A 19,966-nucleotide genomic window follows, 5' to 3' on the forward strand; every position below is an offset into this window, starting at 1 on the left:
AAAAAAAAAAAAAATCAGAGGCTGGGCATGGTGGCTCATGCCTGTAATCCCAGCCATTTGGGAGACTGAGACAGGAGGTTCACTTGAGGCCAGGAGTTTGAGACCAGCCTGGGCAACATTGTAAGACTCTGTCTCTACCAAAAAAAATGAGCTGGGCCTGGTGGCATGTGCCTGTAATCAGCTACTCAAGAGGCTGAGGTGGGAGGATCACTTGAGCCTGGGAGTTCAAGGCTGCAGTAAGCTATGATCACGAGAATGCACTCCAGCCTGGGTGACCAGAGCAAGATGCTGTCTCTAAAGAAGTTTTTAAATGAAAAAAAAAAAAAAAAAATCACAGCCTGGGCAACATGGTGAGGCAACATTTTCTCCTCTACAAAAAGAGAAAAAATCAGAGCTATTATATGTACATGATTTGAAGAATCAAATAGATCTAAAATGAAATAGATCTATAGGGTTGACTATAAAAAGCAGTCCTATTTCCCATCCTCCACCTCTCCCCAACCATTTTCAACTCTTTTAGCTGATTCTTTTCAAATTTATCTCAAAATTTCTAAATAACATGATTTATTGCTACTTCGTGACGTTTCAGTTTCAGACAGTATCTGTTGAATTCCCACTGTAGAAAGTGAGGATTTAACTATGTTCCCCAACCCCCACCTCCACCCAGTGGTGTGCTAGAGCTGACTTGCAGCAGCCAGCAAGAACTGTTTTTGCCCATCTTTTTCCAAATTTGTGTTTAGTGATACTACACTGGTAGCTTGAAATTAGCCATGGTGGAAGTATACATCACGGAAATCAGCAAACAATGCAAATCGGCTTTCTAACCCTCTCCCGCAAAAGCTGACTTGGACCAACATACAGTAACTGCACCCACCCCCAATCTCCTAACGTAGTTTTCTAGTAATTTTGGTTAGATCAATATTTATATTATGACTCTTCTTATTCACAGCCTAGCCAGGCAGTAAGCCATGATTACTTTTCCTTTTTGCATAGTTTTGTTTTCCCTGGGGTTAGTAATTATCTTGACTTTTCTGCTTGCTTTGTTTTCTAAGCTTTTTATTTATTTTTATTTTTATTTTTTTTGAAACAGAGTCTCACTCTGTCGCCCAAGCTGGAGTGCAATGGCGTGATCTCGGCTCGCTGCAACCTCGGCCTCCTGGGTTCAAGCGATTCTCCTGCCTTAGCCTCCCGAGTAGCTGGGATTACAGGTGTGCGCCACCACACCCAGCTAATTTTTGTAATTTTAGTAGAGATGGGGTTTCACCATGTTGGCCAGACTGGTCTCTAACTCCTGACCTCAGTTGATCCTCCTACCTTGACCTCCCAAAGCGCTAGGATTACAGGCATGAGGCACTGTGCCTGGTCTAAGCTCTTATCTTTAATCCAACCCCAAACTCTTCTTAAATTATCTGAATCTCTTCTGAAGACAGACCTATTAGCTTTTCTAACAGTTTCATCTTCCTGGAGAGCCTTTCTGACTGCTCCAGTCTAGACTAGTGCCGTCTACTCCCGGAGCACAGATGCCATCCTGGAATTCCCCTGCCTCATCATTCTGGGGATTCCCTTTGCCTCTTTCCTGTGACAGATCTCTTGTTTCTTGTGTCCCATGGCTTCCTCTTTTTTTTTTCTTTTTTCTTTTCAACTATTTCATTTTGGTGGAGGTTATCCTTTGTAGATTCCTGGAAAAGGATACATGGCAGGTAAAACATTTTAAGATCTTGAGTGTCTGAAAATGTATTCTACTTTCCTATTTGATAGTTCAGCTAGGTATACGTAATTCTAGAATAGAAATACGTTTCCTTCAAACTTTGAAGGCCTTGCTCTATTATCTTCTAGCTTCCAGAGGTACTGTTGAGAAGCCCAAAGTTATTCTGATCCCTAGCCCTCTGAATGTAACCTGGTTTTATTTCACTGAAATCTTTTTTTTTTGTTTTTTTTAATACTGATCCTTGTGGAGCAGGGCTACCTTATAGGCAGTGTACCTCACTGCCCTCACTGGAATCTTATAGTGCTTTTTCTTTGTCCTGGTGTTCTGAAATTTCATGGTGTTGTGCTTTGATGGAACACTACTCATTTATTGTGCTGGGTACTCAATGGGCCACTTCAGCCTGGAAATTAGTTATCTTAGTTCTTTCAGTTCTGAGTTTTCTTGAACTATATCTTCCTATCTTCTTTTTTTTTTTTTTTTTGAGATGGAGTCTTGCTGTGTCCCCCAGGCTATAGTGCAATGGCTCTATCTTGGCTTGCTACAACCTCCACCTCCCAGGTTCAAGCACTTCTCCTGCCTCAGCTTCCCGAGTAGCTGGGACTACAGGTGCCCTCCACCATGCCCAGTTAATTTTTGTATTTTTAGTAGAGACAGGGTTTCACCATGTTGCCCAGGCTGGTCTCAAACTCCTGACCTCAGGTGATCTGTCTGCCTTGGCTTCTCAAAGTGCTGGGATTACAGGTGTAAGCCACTGTGCTCGGTCTTTTTTTGGTATTTTTAGTAGAAACTAGGTTTCACCATGTTGCCCAGGCTGGTCTTGAACTCCTGAGCTCAAGCAATACACCTGCTTTGGCCTCCTAAAGTGCTGGGATTACAGGTGTGACCCACTGTGCCCGGCCCTATCTTCTTTTCATTCAACAAATATTTTTTGAGGACACATGCTACTATTCTGGGCAGGGAATATAGAAGTGAGCAAAACAGATGAAAGTCCCTTGCCTCATGGGGCTTACATTCCAATGGGGTGTTTTCTCACTTTTTTCTGGACCTCCTAGACTAGTCTTCTCACTTTTTTTAAGCTTTCCTACTGTCCAAGTCTTTGGTTGTGTTCTATTTTTCTGGAAGAGTGTCTCAACTTTGTCTTCCAATCTTTCTGTCAGGTTTTTCATTTCTGTGTTCAGAGACAGTGAAAGAAAAAAGAAAGAAGGCCAGGTGCAGTGGCTGACACCTGTAATCTCAGCACTTTGGGAGGCTGAGACAGGTGGATCACCTGAGGTGAGGAGTTCCAGACCAGCCTGGCCAACATGGTGAAACCCCGTCTCTACTAAAAATACAAAAATCAGCCAGGCGTGGTGGCACACACCTGTAGTCCCAGCTACTCCGGAGGCTGAGGCAGAAGAATCTCTTGAACCCAGGAGGTGGAGGTTGCAGTGAGCCAAGATGGTGCCACTGCACTCCAGCCTGGATGACAGAGCAAGACTTCATCTCAAAAAAAAAAAGAAAGGAAAGAAAGAAAAAGATTTTTCGTTTCTGCCAAACAGTCTCGACCTCCTGGGCTCAAGTGATCCTCCTACCTCAGCCTCCTGAGTAACTAGAACTACAAGCACCCACCACCACACCCAGTTAATTTTTTAATATTTTGTAGAGGCAGGGTCTCAAACTCATGGGTTCAAGCAATCCTCCCACCTCAGCCTTTCAAAGTGCTGGGATTACAGGTGTAAGCCACCATGCCTCACCTGGGATTGTATAGATTAAAAGAAATTTAAGACCAGGTACAGTGGCTCGAGCCTGCAATCCCAGCACTTTGGGAGGCTGAGGTGGAAGGATTGTTTGAGCCCAGGAGTTTGAGAGCAGCCTGGGCAATATAGTAAGACCCCCATCTCTACAAAATATTTAAAAATTAGCTGGGTGTTGTGCCACGTGCCTGTAGTCCTAGCTACTTGGAAGGGTGAAGTAGGAGGATCACTTGAGCCCGGGAGGTCGAGGCTGCACCCCACTGTACTCCAGCCTGGGCAACAGAGTGAGACCCTGTCTCAAAAAAAAAAAAAAAAAAAAGAAAGAAAAGAAAAGAAAAAGAAAAATATTTACATAATCCCTTTCCATCTTCTATTTTTCTCGTGCATTTTTTTGCTTGTCAGAGTCTTCCACAGCCTGGATCTTGATGATTGCATCTCTGTAGTGTAGTTTAAGTATTTCCTGTAAATTGTTCAGTAGTTGGATCTAGAGACTTAATCGGATTCAGATTTGGTTTGGAGGAGGGGCAAGATTACTTCATCGTGGTTGTGTGCTCTTTGTTCTGGATGCACGTAATGCCTGGCAGCCCTCTTTGTGTGAAGGAAAGACTCTTCTTTGGCAGCATTCGCTTCCTGTTTCATGGATGCACTGTTTTCACATATCTCTCATAGGATAGTAATGATGGATTTCTGTGAAGTTTTCTTCTTTCTGATTCATTTCTGTTTCCTCTTAGTTTTTTTGTTTGTTTGTTTTTTGTTTTTTTTGAGATGAAGTCTCACTCTGTTGCCCAGGCTGGAGTGCAATGGCGCGATCTTAGCTCACTGCAACCTCCACCTCTCGGCTTTAGGCAGTTCTCCTGCCTCAGACTCCTGAGTAGCTGGGATTACAGGCGTGCGCCGCCACAGCACCCAGCTAATTTTTGTATTTTTAGTAGAGATGGGATTTCACCATGTTGGCCAGGCTGATCTTGAACTCCTGACCTCAGGTGATCCACCCGCCTCGGCCTCCCAAAGTGCTGGGATTACAGGCATGAGCCACTGCGCCCAGCTTACTTTTTTTTTGTTTGAGACAGAGTCTTGTTCTGTTGCCCAGGCTGGGGTGCAGTGGCACGATCTCGGCTCACTGCAACCTCCACCTCCCTGGTTCAAGCGATTCTCCTGCCTCAGCCTCCTGAGTAGCTGGGATTATAGGCGCCCACCACCACGCCCAGCTAATTTTTTTCTATTTTTAGTAGAGATGGGGTTTCACCGTGTTGGCCAGACTGGTCTCGAACTCCTGACCTCAGGCAATCTGCCCGTCTCGGCCTCCCAAAGTGCTGGGATTACAGGCATGAGCCACCATGCCTGGCCTCTCAGGTTTTTGTTGGTTCTTCTTCTTCTTCTTTTTTTTTTCCCCTATTTGTTTATTTTGGTTTCCTTCATGTTGGTGGTTTTACTTACATGTCTGGTAGTCCTTGAATGTGTACTCATATTTAACAGTGGGAGACCTTGAAGCTGTTTGGAGCTCTGTGTCCATAACTAAGTCTTGGCAATTTGGTCTCTGTTATGTCACCACTGAGGGTGGTCTGGCTGGGCTGTTTGGTGGGAATCTTCAATGTCAGTATCTTTACTGTATCTTAGGTCATTAAGTCTTTCCTCTTAGACCTCCAGTCAGTTTCCCAGAGCAGCCTCTTCTAGTCTTCTGTGCAGAGGCAGATGATCTGGCTCTTGGTGTCTGGGAGCCACAGGGGAAGAGGGTTGGGTTTGGGAAAGAGTCTCATCATGTAGTGTACTTACCTTATTGAATCCCCCTCTTTCAGGATGGTGTCCCCATCAACTGGGCCTGCTATCCTCCATCCAGAAACCCTCTGTTTTACTCTCTCTGGTGGATAAACCTCCAGTCTTGGGCCAGGATGTGGAAGGGGCAGTCACCCAGCTCTGTGGAGTTTGGAGAGTACCTGCCTGTTTCTTAAACAGACTTTCAAATAATCCTCCTTATTTAGCATCCCCATTAACCTCACTTCCAGAGGTTGCTGAGATTAGTAATTCGTGAACTTTAGGAATCCTGCCTTCCAAATGTTTTGGGGCTTCCTCCAGGGCTGGCTTGAGAAGATTCTTCTCTCTCTCTCTCTCTTTCTCTGTTAAGTCTTTTCTATTTGTTCATTCGCTTTCCAGCTTCCAAAATGTGGATGCTTTTGCATTTCTCTCTTGTTCTCCCCATCCCTCCCTCATCTAGGTTTATGTCTTTTCTTTTCTTTTTTTTTTTTTTTTTTTTTTTTTTGAGACGGAGTCTTGCTCGCTCAGTTGCCCAGGCTGGAGAGCAGTGGTGCGATCTCGGCTCACTGCAAGCTCCGCCTCCCAGGTTCATGCCATTCTCCTGCCTCAGTCTCCGGAGTAGCTGGGACTACAGGCGCCCGCCACCATGCCTGGCTAATTTTTTTGTATTTTTAGTAGAGATGGGGTTTCACTGTGTTAGCCAGGATGGTCTCGATCTCCTGACCTCGTGATCCGCCCGTCTCAGCCTCCCAAAGTGCTGGGATTACAGGTGTGAGCCACCACGCCTGGCTGGTTTATGTCTTTTTAAAAATTCCCTGGTCGGGCGTGGTGGCTCACACTGTAATCCCAGCACTTTGGAAGGCCGAGGCACGTGGATCATGAGGTCAGGAGATCGTGACCATCCTGGCCATCATGGTGAAACCCCGTCTCTACTAAAAATACAAAAATTAGCTGGGTGTGGTTGTATGTGCCTGTAATCCCAGCTAGTTGGGAGACTGAGGCACGAGAATTGCTTGAAACCGGGAAGTGGAGGTTGCAGTGAGCCGAGATCGTGCCACTGCACTCCAGCCTGGCGACACAGCAAGACTCCGTCTCAAAAAAAATTCCCTTTGGCCCAGGTGCGATGGCTGATGCCTGTTATCCCAGCACTTTGGGAGGCCGAGGTGGGAGGATAACTTGAGGCCAGGAATTGGAGATCAGCTTGGGTAACATAGTGAGACCCCCATCTCTACAAATAATAAAAAATTAGCTGGGTCCAGGCGTGGTGGCTCATGCCAGTAATCCCAGAACTTTGGGAGGCAGTGGTGGGTGGATCACTTGAGGTCAGGAGTTGGAGACCACCCTGGCCAACATGTTGAAACCCCGTCTCTACTAAAAATACAAATATTAGCTGGGCGTGGTGGCGGGTGCCTGTAATCCCAGCTACTTGGGAGGCTGAGGCAGGAGAATCGCTTGATTCTCCAGGCGGAGGTTGCGGTGAGCCAAGATTGTGCCACTGCACTCCAGCCTGGGCAACAGAGCGATACTGTCTCAAAAAAAAAAAAAAAAAAAAAAAAGGCCAGGCGCTTGTAATCCCACAGCACTTTGGGAGGCCGAGGTGGGCAGATCATGAGGTCAGATCGAGACCATCCTGGCTAACATGGTGAAACCCCATCTCTACTAAAAATAGAAAAAAATTAGCCAGGCGTGGTGGCGGGCGCCTGTAATCCCAGCTACTCGGGAGGCTGAGGCAGGCGAATGGGGTGAACCCGGGAGGCGGAGCTTGCAGTGAACCAAGATCAGGCCTCTGCACTCCAGCCTGGGAGACAGAGTGAGACTCCGTCTCAAAAAAAAAAAAAAAAAATTAGCCAGGCACAGTGGCACACACCTGTGGTTCCAGCTTCTCAGGAGGCTAAGGTAGGAGGATGGCTTGAGGCCAGGAGGTCAAGGCTGCAGTGAACCAAGATCATGCCACTGCACTCCAGCCTGGATGACAGTGAGACCCTGTTTCAAAAAACAATTTTTTAAAAAAAAAACCCTTTGACCTATAATCCCAGCACTTTGGGAGGCCAAGGTAAGAGGTTCACTTGAGGCCAGGAGTTTGAGACCAGCCTTGGCAATATAGTAAGACCCTGTCTCTATTTGTAAAAATAAAAAACAACAAACAAAAAAACCCTTTGGGAGGACATGAGAGTAGGTGCATGTGCTCATTCTGGCATCAAAATGAGATGTAGATGTTATTACCTATTTTGCAGATGAGGTTGAAGGTCAGAGAGGTGAAACAGCTTGTCTAAGGACACAGCTTATAGGTGACAGAGTTGGGGCTGGCCCTAAGACAGTGCTCTTGGAGAACAAGGATCCTGACTGAAGATCAAGACACGGGTGTCCCAGAGCCACAGCATCCTCATATTAGCAGGGCCTTTAGAGAACAGTTGGTCCAACCCCCTCATTTTATGGGTGAGAAAAAGGAGGCTCAGAATGGAGAAGGGATTCTCCCAGAGTCATGCAGCAAGTTCGTGCAAAACCGTGAGGAGAAATGCTCCGTGCTACACCACCCCTTTCTGTGACATCCATTCAGTCATTGACTCAGCAAACATTTATTGAGCACCAACTGTGTGCCAGATCCTGTGCTATGCTGGGAAATACAGACATGAGTAAAACTTGGTCCTTTTTTAAATTTCTTTTTTGAGACACAGTTTCACTCTGTTGCCCAGGCTGGAGTACAGTGGCACAATCTTGGGTCACTGCAACCTCCGCCTCCCATGTTCAAGTGATTCTCCTGCCTCAGCTTCCTGAGTAGCTGGGATTACAGGTGCCTGCCACCATGCTTGGCTAATTTTTGTATTTTTTAATTAATTAATTAATTAATTAATTAATTTATTTATTTTGTTTTTGAGACCGAGTCTCACTCTGTCGCCCAAGCTGGAGTGCAGTGGCGCAATCTCGGCTCACTGCAACCTCTGCCTCCCGGGTTCAAGCGATTCTCCTGTCTCGCCTTCCCGAGTAGCTGGGACTACAGGTGCCTGCTACCACATCCAGCTGATTTTGTTTTATTTTTTGTAGAGACGGGGTTTCACCATGTTAGCCAGGATGGTCTCGATCTCCTGACTTCGTGATCCGCCAGCCTCGGCCTCCCAAAGTGTTGGGATTACAGGCGTGAGCCACTGTGCCCGGCTGTTTGTTTGTTTGTTTATTTATTTATTTATTTATTTATTTATTTATTTATTTGAGACGGAGTCTCTCTCTGTCGCCCAGGTTGGAGTGCAGTGGCACAATCTCGGCTCACTGCAACCTCTGCCTTCTGGGTTCAAGTGATTCTCCTGCCTCAGCCTTCTAAGTAGCTGTGATTACAGGCATGCCACCACCCCCAGCTAATATTTGTATTTTTAGTGGAGACGGGGTTTCACCATGCTAGCCAGGCTGGTCTCGAACTCCTGACCTCAGGTGATCCACCCACCTAGGCCTCCCAAAGTGCTGGGATTACAGGTGTGAGCCACTGCGCCCAGCCATAAAACTTGGTACTTGCCTATAAGGAGGCTTCGTCCTGCTTCCTGCTGGCTGCCAGGCCTCCTTGCTGGAGGTGCAAAGGAGGAGAACAGTAATAACAGTTAACATTTGCTGAGTGCTTGCTTCATGCCAAGCACTGTTTGAATTATTTTTCATGTATTAGTGCATTTCATTTTCCCAGCGAGCCTATGAGGCAGGTCTTGGTAATAGGCCCACTTCACAGCTGAGAAACTTCAGGCATGCAGAGGCTGGGACGCACAATCAGGCAGCTCCAGAGTCGGAGCTTTAACCACCACCCTGAAATGAGGACTGCCATGAGGGAGGGGGTAAAGGGAGAAGAGCAGGCGTTGGAGGGAGGGTGAGCTGAGGGGAAGGGGCAAACCAACCTGATCTGCCTCCCTCCTCCTTTAGTGCTCAGTGGGCCCCTCCTCTGATAAGGCCCTGACCTTCATGAAGGACCATTTCCTGATGGATGAGCAAGTGGTGGGGACGCCCCTGCTGGTGAAATCTGGCGTGGAGTATACACGGCTTGCAGTGGAGACAGCCCAGGGCCTTGATGGGCACAGCCATCTTGTCATGTACCTGGGAACCAGTGAGTAAAGAGTTCCGGGACATCCCCCAGAGGACTAGAGCAGAGGATGCCCCCAGGTTGAGGAGGGAAACCCTTGAGTTCATTCACTTATTCATTCAACAACTGTTTACTGAGCACCTGCTATGTGCCTGGCATTCTGCTAGGTTCTGGAAATACAGCAGAGGAGCAAAACAGTCCACTCCCTACCCTTTCTGAGCTTCCTATGGTGGGGGAGGCAGACAGGGAGGTCTTTGGTGGCTTTATCAAGAGCTGTGTGTCTTATGAGGGAAGCTATGTTAGAGGAATGAAAGGTGAGTGGGTGGAGGGGAGCTGGAAACCGCACATGTAGAGATCACTCCTTCAGGAAGCTCGTCTGTGAAGGGAGAGAGGAAGGAGGTGGTGGCTGGAGCACGGAGTGGGGCGCAGCTGGGGTTCTTGGTTTTGTTTTTTCCCCCTCCTTGCCCCCAGGGTTCTTGTTTTGTAGACAGGAAGGACTAAGCATCTAGTAGACAGGGGGATGGCAAAGAGATGGGTAGAAGAAGGGATAAGTGGCAGGTAAAGTTGTGGCGGGAGCAGGCGGCCAGAGTCCAGGACACATGTCGAGCTGGGCAGCTGTGGGTGGCGGGGGGGACAGCACCTGAGCTGGGCTGGGAGTGAAGCTGTAGCAGCGGGGTGTGACTTGGTGGGTGTGCAGGCTCAGGGTAGGAAGCCAAGGGAGCTCTTATTTGAAGGCTTTTGTGTTCTCTATGTAGGTGGAGGACACAAGGTCATGAGCTGGGAGTGAGGGGGCAGGAAAGGTGGGAGGTTTGAGGAGAGAGAGGTAGATTCAAATAGCCATTGTGGGCTGGGCACAGTGGCTCACGCCTGTAATCCCAGCACTTTGGGAGGCTGAGGTGGGTGGATCACCTGAGGTCAGGAGTTCGAGACCAGCCTGGCCAACATTGTGAAACCCGTTTCTACTAAAAATACAAACAAATTAGCAGTGTGTAGTGGCACGCACCTGTAATCCCAGCTACTCGGGAGGCTGAGTCAGGAGAATCACTTGAACCTGGGAGGCAGAGGTTGCAATGAGCCAAAATTGTGCCACTGCCCTCCAGCCTGGGTGACAAGAGTGAAAATCCGTCTCAAAAAAAAAAATAGCCATTGTGGAAAGAGGGAGACGGAGTCAGCAGAGAATGCAGCAAGACTGCCCAGGCAGACTGCTCAGGCAGGATAACCTTGAGGGTCAGTGGAAGAAATTTGTCAAGTTCATTCATTCCTTCAGGACAGATTACTAGGCACTGTATCAGCTGTGCATGTATTGGGTATACAGCAGAGAACAAAACAGTCAAAAATCTCAGTCTTTGTGGAGTGGATGGAGACAGACAATAGCATCCTGAATAAGTAAATTACATGGCACATCATGAGATTTGAGTCACGTAGAGGTGTGTGCGGGGGAATCAGGAATGCCAGGTAAGGAGGTTGCACCTGTTAAAAGGGTGGCCAGGTAGACCTCACTGAGGTGCTTGATGGATGTGAGGGAGGCAGGTGATGTGATTTTCTACAGAAGCACCCAGCCGCCCACTGTTTCATGCCTATGGAGAAATAGCTGGGTTTCTCCAGGGACAAAGTTTTGTCAGGGAGTTGCAAAGGAAGGACAGGGGTCCAAGGGATTTTAGTCATTTACAAGAGACTGCCATCTCCATGGCACAGAGGAAGGTGAATGATCTGGCTGACCCGCGCCCAGTACATATCACCCTCAGAAGGAGCTTTCTTACAGCTGGGGAGGCCCCCGGAAGTTGGGAAGGGATCTGTGGATGAGATGAGATGACTTCCACTCTCTCTGTCTCCCCATAGCCACAGGGTCGCTCCACAAGGCTGTGGTAAGTGGGGACAGCAGTGCTCATCTGGTGGAAGAGATTCAGCTGTTCCCTGACCCTGAACCTGTTCGCAACCTGCAGCTGGCCCCCACCCAGGTGGGAAGGGACCTGACCATCAAATGGCCTTCCAGTGGGGCTGGCCTTGGGGGCCTGTTGGGCTGGCTCCCTGGGCCTGCACCAGCGTGCTGGGACTTTACTAGATGTGGCTGGGGCTCCCTGACAATCTCCATCTCTCTTCCAGGGTGCAGTGTTTGTAGGCTTCTCAGGAGGTGTCTGGAGGGTGCCCCGAGCCAACTGTAGTGTCTATGAGAGCTGTGTGGACTGTGTCCTTGCCCGGGACCCCCACTGTGCCTGGGACCCTGAGTCCCGAACCTGTTGCCTCCTGTCTGCCCCCAACCTGTGAGTGCCAGTCCTGGATGGTGGCCTGGATGGCCAGCCAGGACCCTTCTCAGCCAGCTTCTGCTACTGTTCTTCCTCTCTCCAGGGGCTACTGACATATTCACTCCAAGAGTCCTCCCATCCTGCAGTGGGTTCCTCCAGGGATGGAGTTTCCAGGCAGTTTTGAAGCTGCTCTGGCCATTCCGCGTTCCTCTCTCTGTTCCTAGTCTCCCCTGGCCTACCTTCTTCCCTACTGCACTTCCTCCCTTCCTCCTTCCTCTTCCCACTTTCAGCTCTTTTGAAGGATAATTTTTACTTTCTCTGCTCTCTTAGGAACTCCTGGAAGCAGGACATGGAGCGGGGGAACCCAGAGTGGGCATGTGCCAGTGGCCCCATGAGCAGGAGCCTTCGGCCTCAGAGCCGCCCGCAAATCAGTGAGTGTAGGACCACTCACCAGGGGAGGTGCAAAGGCTCTGGAAGACTTTTGGGCAGGGGTGGGCATTCCTGCTCCAATTTCCTCCCCCAGCACCTGCCTGGCTTGAGATCTGAACACCCGAGTTGGGATGGATTTGGGTCCTGGCTATAGGGAAGAGGCATAGGAATTCTGAGCTGGAGGCCAAGCTGGGATTCAGGATTGAGGTTGCAGTTGATTTTGGTGTCTGAGTTGGAGTTAGGTGGACTGGGGCTTAGTTTGGGGTCCAGACTGGAGATTAAGGAGGAGTGAAATTTGAGTTTGGGATTGAAATGGAAGTTGGAGATAAGAGTTAGGGTCCAGGCCAGGCTCAGTGGCTCACTCCTGTAATACCAGCACTTTGAGAGGCTGAGGCGGGACTCCCTTCTACCATTGTTTGAGCTCATGAGTTTCAGACCAGCCTGGCCAACATGGTAAAACCCCATCTCTACAAAAATTAACCAGGCGTGGAAACACATGCCTGTAGTCCCAGCTATTCGGGAGGCTGGGGTGGAAGGATGCCTTGAGCCCAGAAGGCAGAGGTTGCAGTGAGCTGAGGTTGCAGTGAGCTGAGGTTGTGCCACTGCACTCCAGCCTGGGCAATAGAGCCAGAACCTGCCTCAAAAAAAAAAAAAAAAGAGGGCTGGGGTCCAAAGATAGGTTAGAGACTCTCTCCTGTCTCCATCCTTCACTTCTCCCTTAACCCTTTTGCTCCTTTCTTTCTCCTACAGTTAAAGAAGTCCTGGCTGTCCCCAACTCCATCCTGGAGCTCCCCTGCCCCCACCTGTCAGCCTTGGCCTCTTATTATTGGAGTCATGGCCCAGCAGCAGTCCCAGAAGCCTCTTCCACTGTCTACAATGGCTCCCTCTTGCTGATAGTGCAGGATGGAGTTGGGGGTCTCTACCAGTGCTGGGCAACTGAGAATGGCTTTTCATACCCTGTGATCTCCTACTGGGTGGACAGCCAGGACCAGACCCTGGCCCTGGATCCTGAACTGGCAGGCATCCCCCGGGAGCATGTGAAGGTCCCGTTGACCAGGGTCAGTGGTGGGGCCGCCCTGGCTGCCCAGCAGTCCTACTGGCCCCACTTTGTCACTGTCACTGTCCTCTTTGCCTTAGTGCTTTCAGGAGCCCTCATCATCCTCGTGGCCTCCCCATTGAGAGCACTCCGGGCTCGGGGCAAGGTTCAGGGCTGTGAGACCCTGCGCCCTGGGGAGAAGGCCCCGTTAAGCAGAGAGCAACACCTCCAGTCTCCCAAGGAATGCAGGACCTCTGCCAGTGATGTGGACGCTGACAACAACTGCCTAGGCACTGAGGTAGCTTAAACTCTAGGCACAGGCCGGGGCTGCGGTGCAGGCACCTGGCCATGCTGGCTGGGCGGCCCAAGCACAGCCCTGACTAGGATGACAGCAGCACAAAAGACCACCTTTCTCCCCTGAGAGGAGCTTCTGCTACTCTGCATCACTGATGACACTCAGCAGGGTGATGCACAGCAGTCTGCCTCCCCTATGGGACTCCCTTCTACCAAGCACATGAGCTCTCTAACAGGGTGGGGGCTACCCCCAGACCTGCTCCTACACTGATATTGAAGAACCTGGAGAGGATCCTTCAGTTCTGGCCATTCCAGGGACCCTCCAGAAACACAGTGTTTCAAGAGACCCTAAAAAACCTGCCTGTCCCAGGACCCTATGGTAATGAACACCAAACATCTAAACAATCATATGCTAACATGCCACTCCTGGAAACTCCACTCTGAAGCTGCCGCTTTGGACACCAACACTCCCTTCTCCCAGGGTCATGCAGGGATCTGCTCCCTCCTGCTTCCCTTACCAGTCGTGCACCGCTGACTCCCAGGAAGTCTTTCCTGAAGTCTGACCACCTTTCTTCTTGCTTCAGTTGGGGCAGACTCTGATCCCTTCTGCCCTGGCAGAATGGCAGGGGTAATCTGAGCCTTCTTCACTCCTTTACCCTAGCTGACCCCTTCACCTCTCCCCCTCCCTTTTCCTTTGTTTTGGGATTCAGAAAACTGCTTGTCAGAGACTGTTTATTTTTTATTAAAAATATAAGGCTTATGTATGATGGGTGCTGTGTTTGCTGGAGCAGAGTGCTCCGGCAGAGAATTGCTGGGATGTCAAGGGAGCAAGCAGTCCAAGCACATCAGTTGGGAGGAGGACTAGGTTTGTGGGGGGATTGTTCTCTCCAACTCCAGACTACCTCCTCTGCCCTGCCAGCTCCCCACCCAGAACCAGCCCACCCAGAACCAGCCCACAGCACTTTCCTCCACTCTGAGCATTGCTAGAGGGTGCTGCAAACTTTTGCCTTTTGGGCCAACCACAGGTTGGTGTTGACCAGGCTCAGCTTGTATCCTTCTGCTAGACAGGCGATACCTCATCCATCACTAACTCCCCTGCTGCGGCCCCCACAGTTGCTGTCCACACCTCTCCCACACTTCTCGTGACTCCAATTCAGCCCTGCTTCCCCACTGCAGCAGTTGGCTTCAACTGTTGGTAGACAAATTTATAGAAAGACTGTGCATCCACCCCCATCCTGGCCACATCTCTCTCAGTATCTGATAATGCTCTGTCCACACCTCCACACCACCTTCCTCCTCTACCCTCTGTCACAAAGGCACAGGTCCCTCTTCCACCAAGACTAACCAGCACATCTCTCCCCCCATCACTGCCAGGGATCTGTTCTCTAATCATCTGACCTCCAGCATCCCCACTCGCTTTACCCACTTCCTCATCTTTCATCTCTCCTCTCCCACCTACAGGTGTGTTCAGGCGTTCTCTAGATAAAAAAACAACAGAACACTAATCTTACCACAAACTCTATCCATTCACGTCACCCCCACTCAGTCTCTCTTTCCTGGTACCACCAAACATGGGAGTGAGTCCATTCTGGCTGCCCCCACCTCCCTCCAGTGTCGCCTGAGCTCTCTCCAATCCCCTGAGGTCTAGCTTCTTTCCCCACCTTTCTGCTCAAATGGCTCTCTCCGAAACTACCCATAAACCCCTAATGCCAAATCTGACCTTGGTGTGTGTATGCCCCTCACATATTGACCACCCCATTCTCACAATTTTCTTCTATTATGTGTTCTCAAATTTTTTTTAATTTAAATCTTGGTTAAAAAAAAAACAAACCATACAACGTACCCCCTTAGCCATAAAAAAAAAAAAAAAGAAAAAAAAAAAAAGGCCTGGCACAGTGGATCATGCCTGTAATTCCAGCATTTTGGGAGGCCGAGGTGGGTGGATCACCTGAGGTCAGGAGTTCAAGACCCACCTGGCCAACATAGCGAGACCCCATTTCTACTAAAAGTACAAAAAATTAGCCAGGTGTGGTGGCAGGCACCTGTAGTCCCAGCTACTCTGGAGGCTAAGGTAAGAGAATAACTTGAACCCAGGAGGCAGAGTCTGCCGTGAGCCGAGATTGCGCCACTGTGTGTGTGTGTGTGTGTGTGTGTGTGTGTGTGTGTGTGTGTGTATGTGTGTGTGTATTTTTTGAAACAGAGTCTTGCTCTGTCGCCCAGGCTGGAGTGCAGTGGCACTGTGGGGAAAAGCAAGAGAGATCAGATTGTTACTGTGTCTGTGTAGAAAGAAGTAGACATAGGAGACTCCATTTTGTTATGTACTAAGAAAAATTCTTCTGCCTTGAGATTCTGTTAATCTATAACCTTACCCCCAACCCCATGCTCTCTGAAACGTGTGCTGTGTCAACTCAGAGTTAAATGGATTAAGGGCGGTGCAGGATGTGCTTTGTTAAACAGATGCTTGAAGGCAGCATGCTCCTTAAGAGTCATCACCACTCCCTAATCTCAAGTACCCAGGGACACAAAAACTGCGGAAGGCCGCAGGGACCTCTGCCTAGGAAAGCCAGGTATTGTCCAAGGTTTCTCCCCATGTGATAGTCTGAAATATGGCCTCGTGGGAAGGGAAAGACCTGACCGTCCCCCAGCCCGACACCCGTAAAGGGTCTGTGCTGAGGAGGATTAGTAAAAGAGGAAGGAATGCCTCTTGCAGTTGAGACAAGAGGAAGGCATCTGTCTCCTGCCTTTCCCTGGGCAATGGAATGTCTCGGTATAAAACCCGATTGTATGCTCCATCTACTGAGATAGGGAAAAACCGCCTTAGGGCTGGAGGTGGGACCTGCGGGCAGCAATACTGCTTTGTAAAGCATTGAGATGTTTATGTGTATGCATATCTAAAAGCACAGCACTTAATCCTTTACATTGTCTATGATGCCAAGACCTTTGTTCACGTGTTTGTCTGCTGACCCTCTCCCCACAATTGTCTTGTGACCCTGACACATCCCCCTCTTTGAGAAACACCCACAGATGATCAATAAATACTAAGGGAACTCAGAGGCTGGCGGGATCCTCCATATGCTGAACGCTGGTTCCCCGGGTCCCCTTCTTTCTTTCTCTATACTTTGTCTCTGTGTCTTTTTCTTTTCCAAATCTCTCGTCCCACCTTACGAGAAACACCCACAGGTGTGTAGGGGCAACCCACCCCTACATGGCACAATCTCAGCTCACTGCAGCCTCTGCCTCCCAGGTTCAAGCGATTATCCTGCCTCAGCCTCCTGAGTAGCTGGGACTACAGGCGCCTGCCACCACACCCAGCTAATTTTTGTATTTTTAGTAGAAACATGCTTTCACCATGTTGGTCAGGTGGGTCTGGAACTCCTGGACTCAGCTGATCCGCCCGCCTCGGCCTCCCAAACTGCTGGGATTACAGGTGTGAGCCACTGCGCCCAGCCTAACAAGTACATATTTATTTTTTAAAATTAGAGACGGAGTCTGACTGTCACCCAGTCTGGAGTGCAATGGCGTGATCCTAGCTCACTGCAGCCTCATACTCCTGGGCTTAAGGGATTCTCCTGCCTCAGCCTCTTGAGTAGTTAGGACTACAGGCACATGCCACCACACCTGGCTATTTTTTTTTTTTTAGAGATGGGGTCTTGCTATATTGCCCAGGCTGTCCCGAATTCCTGTCCTCAAGCAACACCCCTCCCTCAGCCTCCCTAAATGCTGGGATTACAGGCATGAGCCACCATGCCCACCCCCAACCCTTCTTAGCCATCTCTACCTATATATATGTATATAAGCTGGATATGGTAGGTGGCCCATGCCCATAGTCGCAGCTACTCAGGAGGCTGAGGTGGGAGGATTGTTTCAGCCCAGGAATTTGAGGCTGCAGTGAGCTATGATCATGCCACTGCAATCCAGCTGGGGCAACAGAGTAATCCTGTCTCTAAAAATAATAATAATAATACGAAAAATAAAATATATTAACTATTCATTAAGTGGAAATGGATCATCACAAATGTCGGCTGAGTAGTCTGAGGAGGAGGAGGAGAAAGAGGAGGGGGTTGGTCCTGCTGTCTCAGGGCAGAGGCGGTAGAAAATCTCCTTAAGCCGGGCACAGTGGCTCACGCCTGTAATCCTAGCACTTTGGGAGGCCAAGGTGGGCAGATCACCTGAGGTCAGGAGTTCAAGACCAGCCTGGCCAACATGGTGAAACCCCGTCTCTACTAAAAATACAAAAATTAGCCAGGTGTGGTAGCACACGCCTGTAATCCCAGATACTTAGGAGGCTGAGGCAGGAGAATTGCTTGAACCTGGGAGGCGGAGGTTGCAGTGAGCCAAGATCACGCCACTGCACTCCAGCCTGGGTGACAGAGCAAGACTCTGTCTCAGAAAAAAAAAAACTACTTAAAAATGGACTTACATAATTAAAACTCATGTTGGTCAAGGTTCAACTGTATAAATAAGTAAGCTAGGTAGTGTGGGGAAAAGAAAGAGATCAGATTGTTACTGTGTCTGTGTAGAAATAAGTAGGCATAGGAGACTCCATTTTGTTCTGTACTAAGAAAAATTCTTCTGCCTTGAGATTCTGTTAATCTATAACCTTACCCCCAACCCCGTGTTCTCTGAAACATGTGCTGTGTCAAACTCAGGTTTAAATGGATTAAGGGCGGTGCAAGATGTGCTTTGTTAAACAGATGCTTGAAGGCAGCATGCTCGTTGAGAGTCATCACCACTCCCTAATCTCAAGTTCCCAGGGACACAAAACACTGCGGAAGGCGGCAGGGCCCCCTGCCTAGGAAAGCCAGGTATTGTCCGAGGTTTCTCCCCATGTGATAGTCTGAAATGTGGCCTCATGGGAAGGGAAAGACCTGACCGTCCCCCAGCCTGACACCCGTAAAGGGTCTGTGCTGAGGAGGATTAGTATAAGAGGAAGGCATGCCTCTTGCAGTTGAGACAAGAGGAAGGCATCTGTCTCCTGCCTTTCCCTGGGCAATGGAATGTCTCAGTATAAAACCCGATTGTACGTTCCATCTACTGAGATAGGGAAAAACCGCCTTAGGGCTGGAGGTGGGACATGCGGGCAACAATACTGCTCTGTAAGGCATTGAGATGTTTATGTGTATGCATATCTAAAGCACAGCACTTAATTCTTTACCTTGTCTGTGATGCAGAGACCTTTGTTCACGTGTTTATCTGCTGACCTTCTCTCCACTATTATCCTATGACCCTGACACATCCTCCTCTCCGAGAAACACCCAAGAATGATCAATAAATACTAAGGGAACTCAGAGGCTGGCAGGATTCTCCGTATGCTGAACCCTGGTCCCCTGGGCCCCCTTATTTCTTTCTCTATACTTTGTGTCTTTTTCTTTTCCAAGTCTCTCGTTCCACCTAACGAGAAACACCCACAGGTGTGGAGGGGCAACCCACCCCTTCAAGGTAGGGTACATTAGATGATGATGTACTACAGGGAAAAAATGGATCTGGGGAAAGCAGTTTGGGAGTAGGAAGGGTGTCTACAATTGTTTTTTGTTACAGTTAACAGGGTCTCACTCCGTTGCCCAGGCTGCAGTGCAGTGGCTCAGTTGTAGCTCACTGCACCCTCAACCTCTTGAGCCCAAGTGAGCTTCCTGCTTAGCCTCCCAAGTGGGTGGGACTATAGGCATGTGCTATCATGGCTGGCTAATTTTTAATTTTTATTTATTTATTTATTTATTTATTTTTTGAGACGGAGTTTCACTCTTGTTGCCCAGGCTGGAGTGCAATGGCGCGATCTCTGCTCATCGCAACCTCTGCCTCCCAGGTTCAAGTGATTCTCCTGCCTCAGCCTCCCAAGTAGCTGGGATTACAGGTATGCGCCAACACGCCTGGCTAATTTTTGTATTTTTTTTAGTAGAGAAGGGGTTTCTTCATGTTGGTCAGGCTGTTCTTGAACTCCCGACCTCAAGTGATCTGCCCGCCTCAGCCTCCCAAAGTGCTGGGATTACAGGCGTGAGTCACCATGCCCAGACAATTTTTTATTTTTTGTAGAGACAGGATCTTACTATGTTTCCCAGGCTGTTCTTGAAATCCTGGACTTAAGCAATCCTCACTCCTTGGCCTCCCAAAGTGCTGGGATTACAGGCATGAGCCACATTGCCTGCCTTTTTTTTTTTTTCTTTTTTGAGATGGAGTCCCACTCTGTCGCCTAAGCTAGAGTGCTGCAGTGGCATGATCTTGGCTCCCTGCAACCTCTGCCTCCCAGGTTCAAGTGATTCTCCTGGCTCAACCTCCTGAATAGCTGGGATTACAGGTACCTGCCACCATGCCTGGGTAATTTTTGTATTTTTAATAGAGACAGAGTTTTGCCATGTTGGCCAGGCTGGTCTCGAACTCCTCAGGTGATCTGCCCACTCGGCCTGCCAAAGTGCTGGGATTACAGGTGTGAGCCAAGGCCCCCGGCCCTTTTTTTTTTTTTTTTTAGAGATGGGGTTCTCATTATGTTTCTCAGGCTGGTCTTGAAGCAATCCTCTCACTTTAGCCTCCCAAAGTAGATATTTTTTTTTCCTTTCTTTTTTTTCTTGAGATGGAGTCTTGCTCTGTCACCCAGGCTGGAGTGCAGTGGTGTGATCTTGGCTCACTGCAACCTCTGCCTCCTGGGTTCAATCAATTTTCCTGCCTCAGCCTACTGAGTAGCTGGGATTACAGGCGCACGCCATCACACCTGGCTAATTTGTG

General features: G+C 49.0%; 1 protein-coding gene across 18 annotated transcripts in view, besides 4 other annotated features; it reads left to right on the plus strand.

The window, feature by feature from the left end:
- Nucleotides 1–14,009, plus strand: part of SEMA4A (semaphorin 4A) — a 30,372-nt gene extending 16,363 nt beyond the window's left edge. For 17 of the 18 annotated variants that reach the window (XM_047427664.1, XM_047427677.1, XM_011509878.3 and 14 more), the window contains 5 exons: nucleotides 9,091–9,271; nucleotides 11,087–11,205; nucleotides 11,351–11,508; nucleotides 11,821–11,921; nucleotides 12,670–14,009. In XM_047427664.1, coding sequence (XP_047283620.1) covers nucleotides 9,091–9,271; nucleotides 11,087–11,205; nucleotides 11,351–11,508; nucleotides 11,821–11,921; nucleotides 12,670–13,262 — 1,152 coding nt within the window. In that variant the 3' untranslated portion in view covers nucleotides 13,263–14,009. Of the gene's footprint in view, nucleotides 1–9,090; nucleotides 9,272–11,086; nucleotides 11,206–11,350; nucleotides 11,509–11,820; nucleotides 11,922–12,669 lie in introns of those variants that run through there. The other variant, XM_047427678.1, reaches the window with a different exon arrangement.
- Nucleotides 13,167–13,669: an enhancer, noted in NCBI's record as "H3K27ac-H3K4me1 hESC enhancer chr1:156146693-156147195 (GRCh37/hg19 assembly coordinates)". NCBI's record gives its function as "activates a minimal SCP1, AML or CMV promoter by ChIP-STARR-seq in primed H9 embryonic stem cells {active_cell/tissue: H9 hESC(primed)}" and the evidence as "EXISTENCE:reporter gene assay evidence [ECO:0000049][PMID:30033119]".
- Nucleotides 16,187–16,689: an enhancer, noted in NCBI's record as "NANOG-H3K27ac-H3K4me1 hESC enhancer chr1:156149713-156150215 (GRCh37/hg19 assembly coordinates)". NCBI's record gives its function as "activates a minimal SCP1, AML or CMV promoter by ChIP-STARR-seq in primed H9 embryonic stem cells {active_cell/tissue: H9 hESC(primed)}" and the evidence as "EXISTENCE:reporter gene assay evidence [ECO:0000049][PMID:30033119]".
- Nucleotides 17,697–18,200: an enhancer, noted in NCBI's record as "OCT4-NANOG-H3K27ac-H3K4me1 hESC enhancer chr1:156151223-156151726 (GRCh37/hg19 assembly coordinates)". NCBI's record gives its function as "activates a minimal SCP1, AML or CMV promoter by ChIP-STARR-seq in naive H9 embryonic stem cells {active_cell/tissue: H9 hESC(naive)}" and the evidence as "EXISTENCE:reporter gene assay evidence [ECO:0000049][PMID:30033119]".
- Nucleotides 18,201–18,703: an enhancer, noted in NCBI's record as "OCT4-NANOG-H3K27ac hESC enhancer chr1:156151727-156152229 (GRCh37/hg19 assembly coordinates)". NCBI's record gives its function as "activates a minimal SCP1, AML or CMV promoter by ChIP-STARR-seq in naive H9 embryonic stem cells {active_cell/tissue: H9 hESC(naive)}" and the evidence as "EXISTENCE:reporter gene assay evidence [ECO:0000049][PMID:30033119]".

The sequence above is a fragment of the Homo sapiens genome, chromosome 1 (genome assembly GCF_000001405.40).
Source record: "Homo sapiens chromosome 1, GRCh38.p14 Primary Assembly".
NCBI classification, from domain to species: domain Eukaryota; kingdom Metazoa; phylum Chordata; class Mammalia; order Primates; family Hominidae; genus Homo; species Homo sapiens.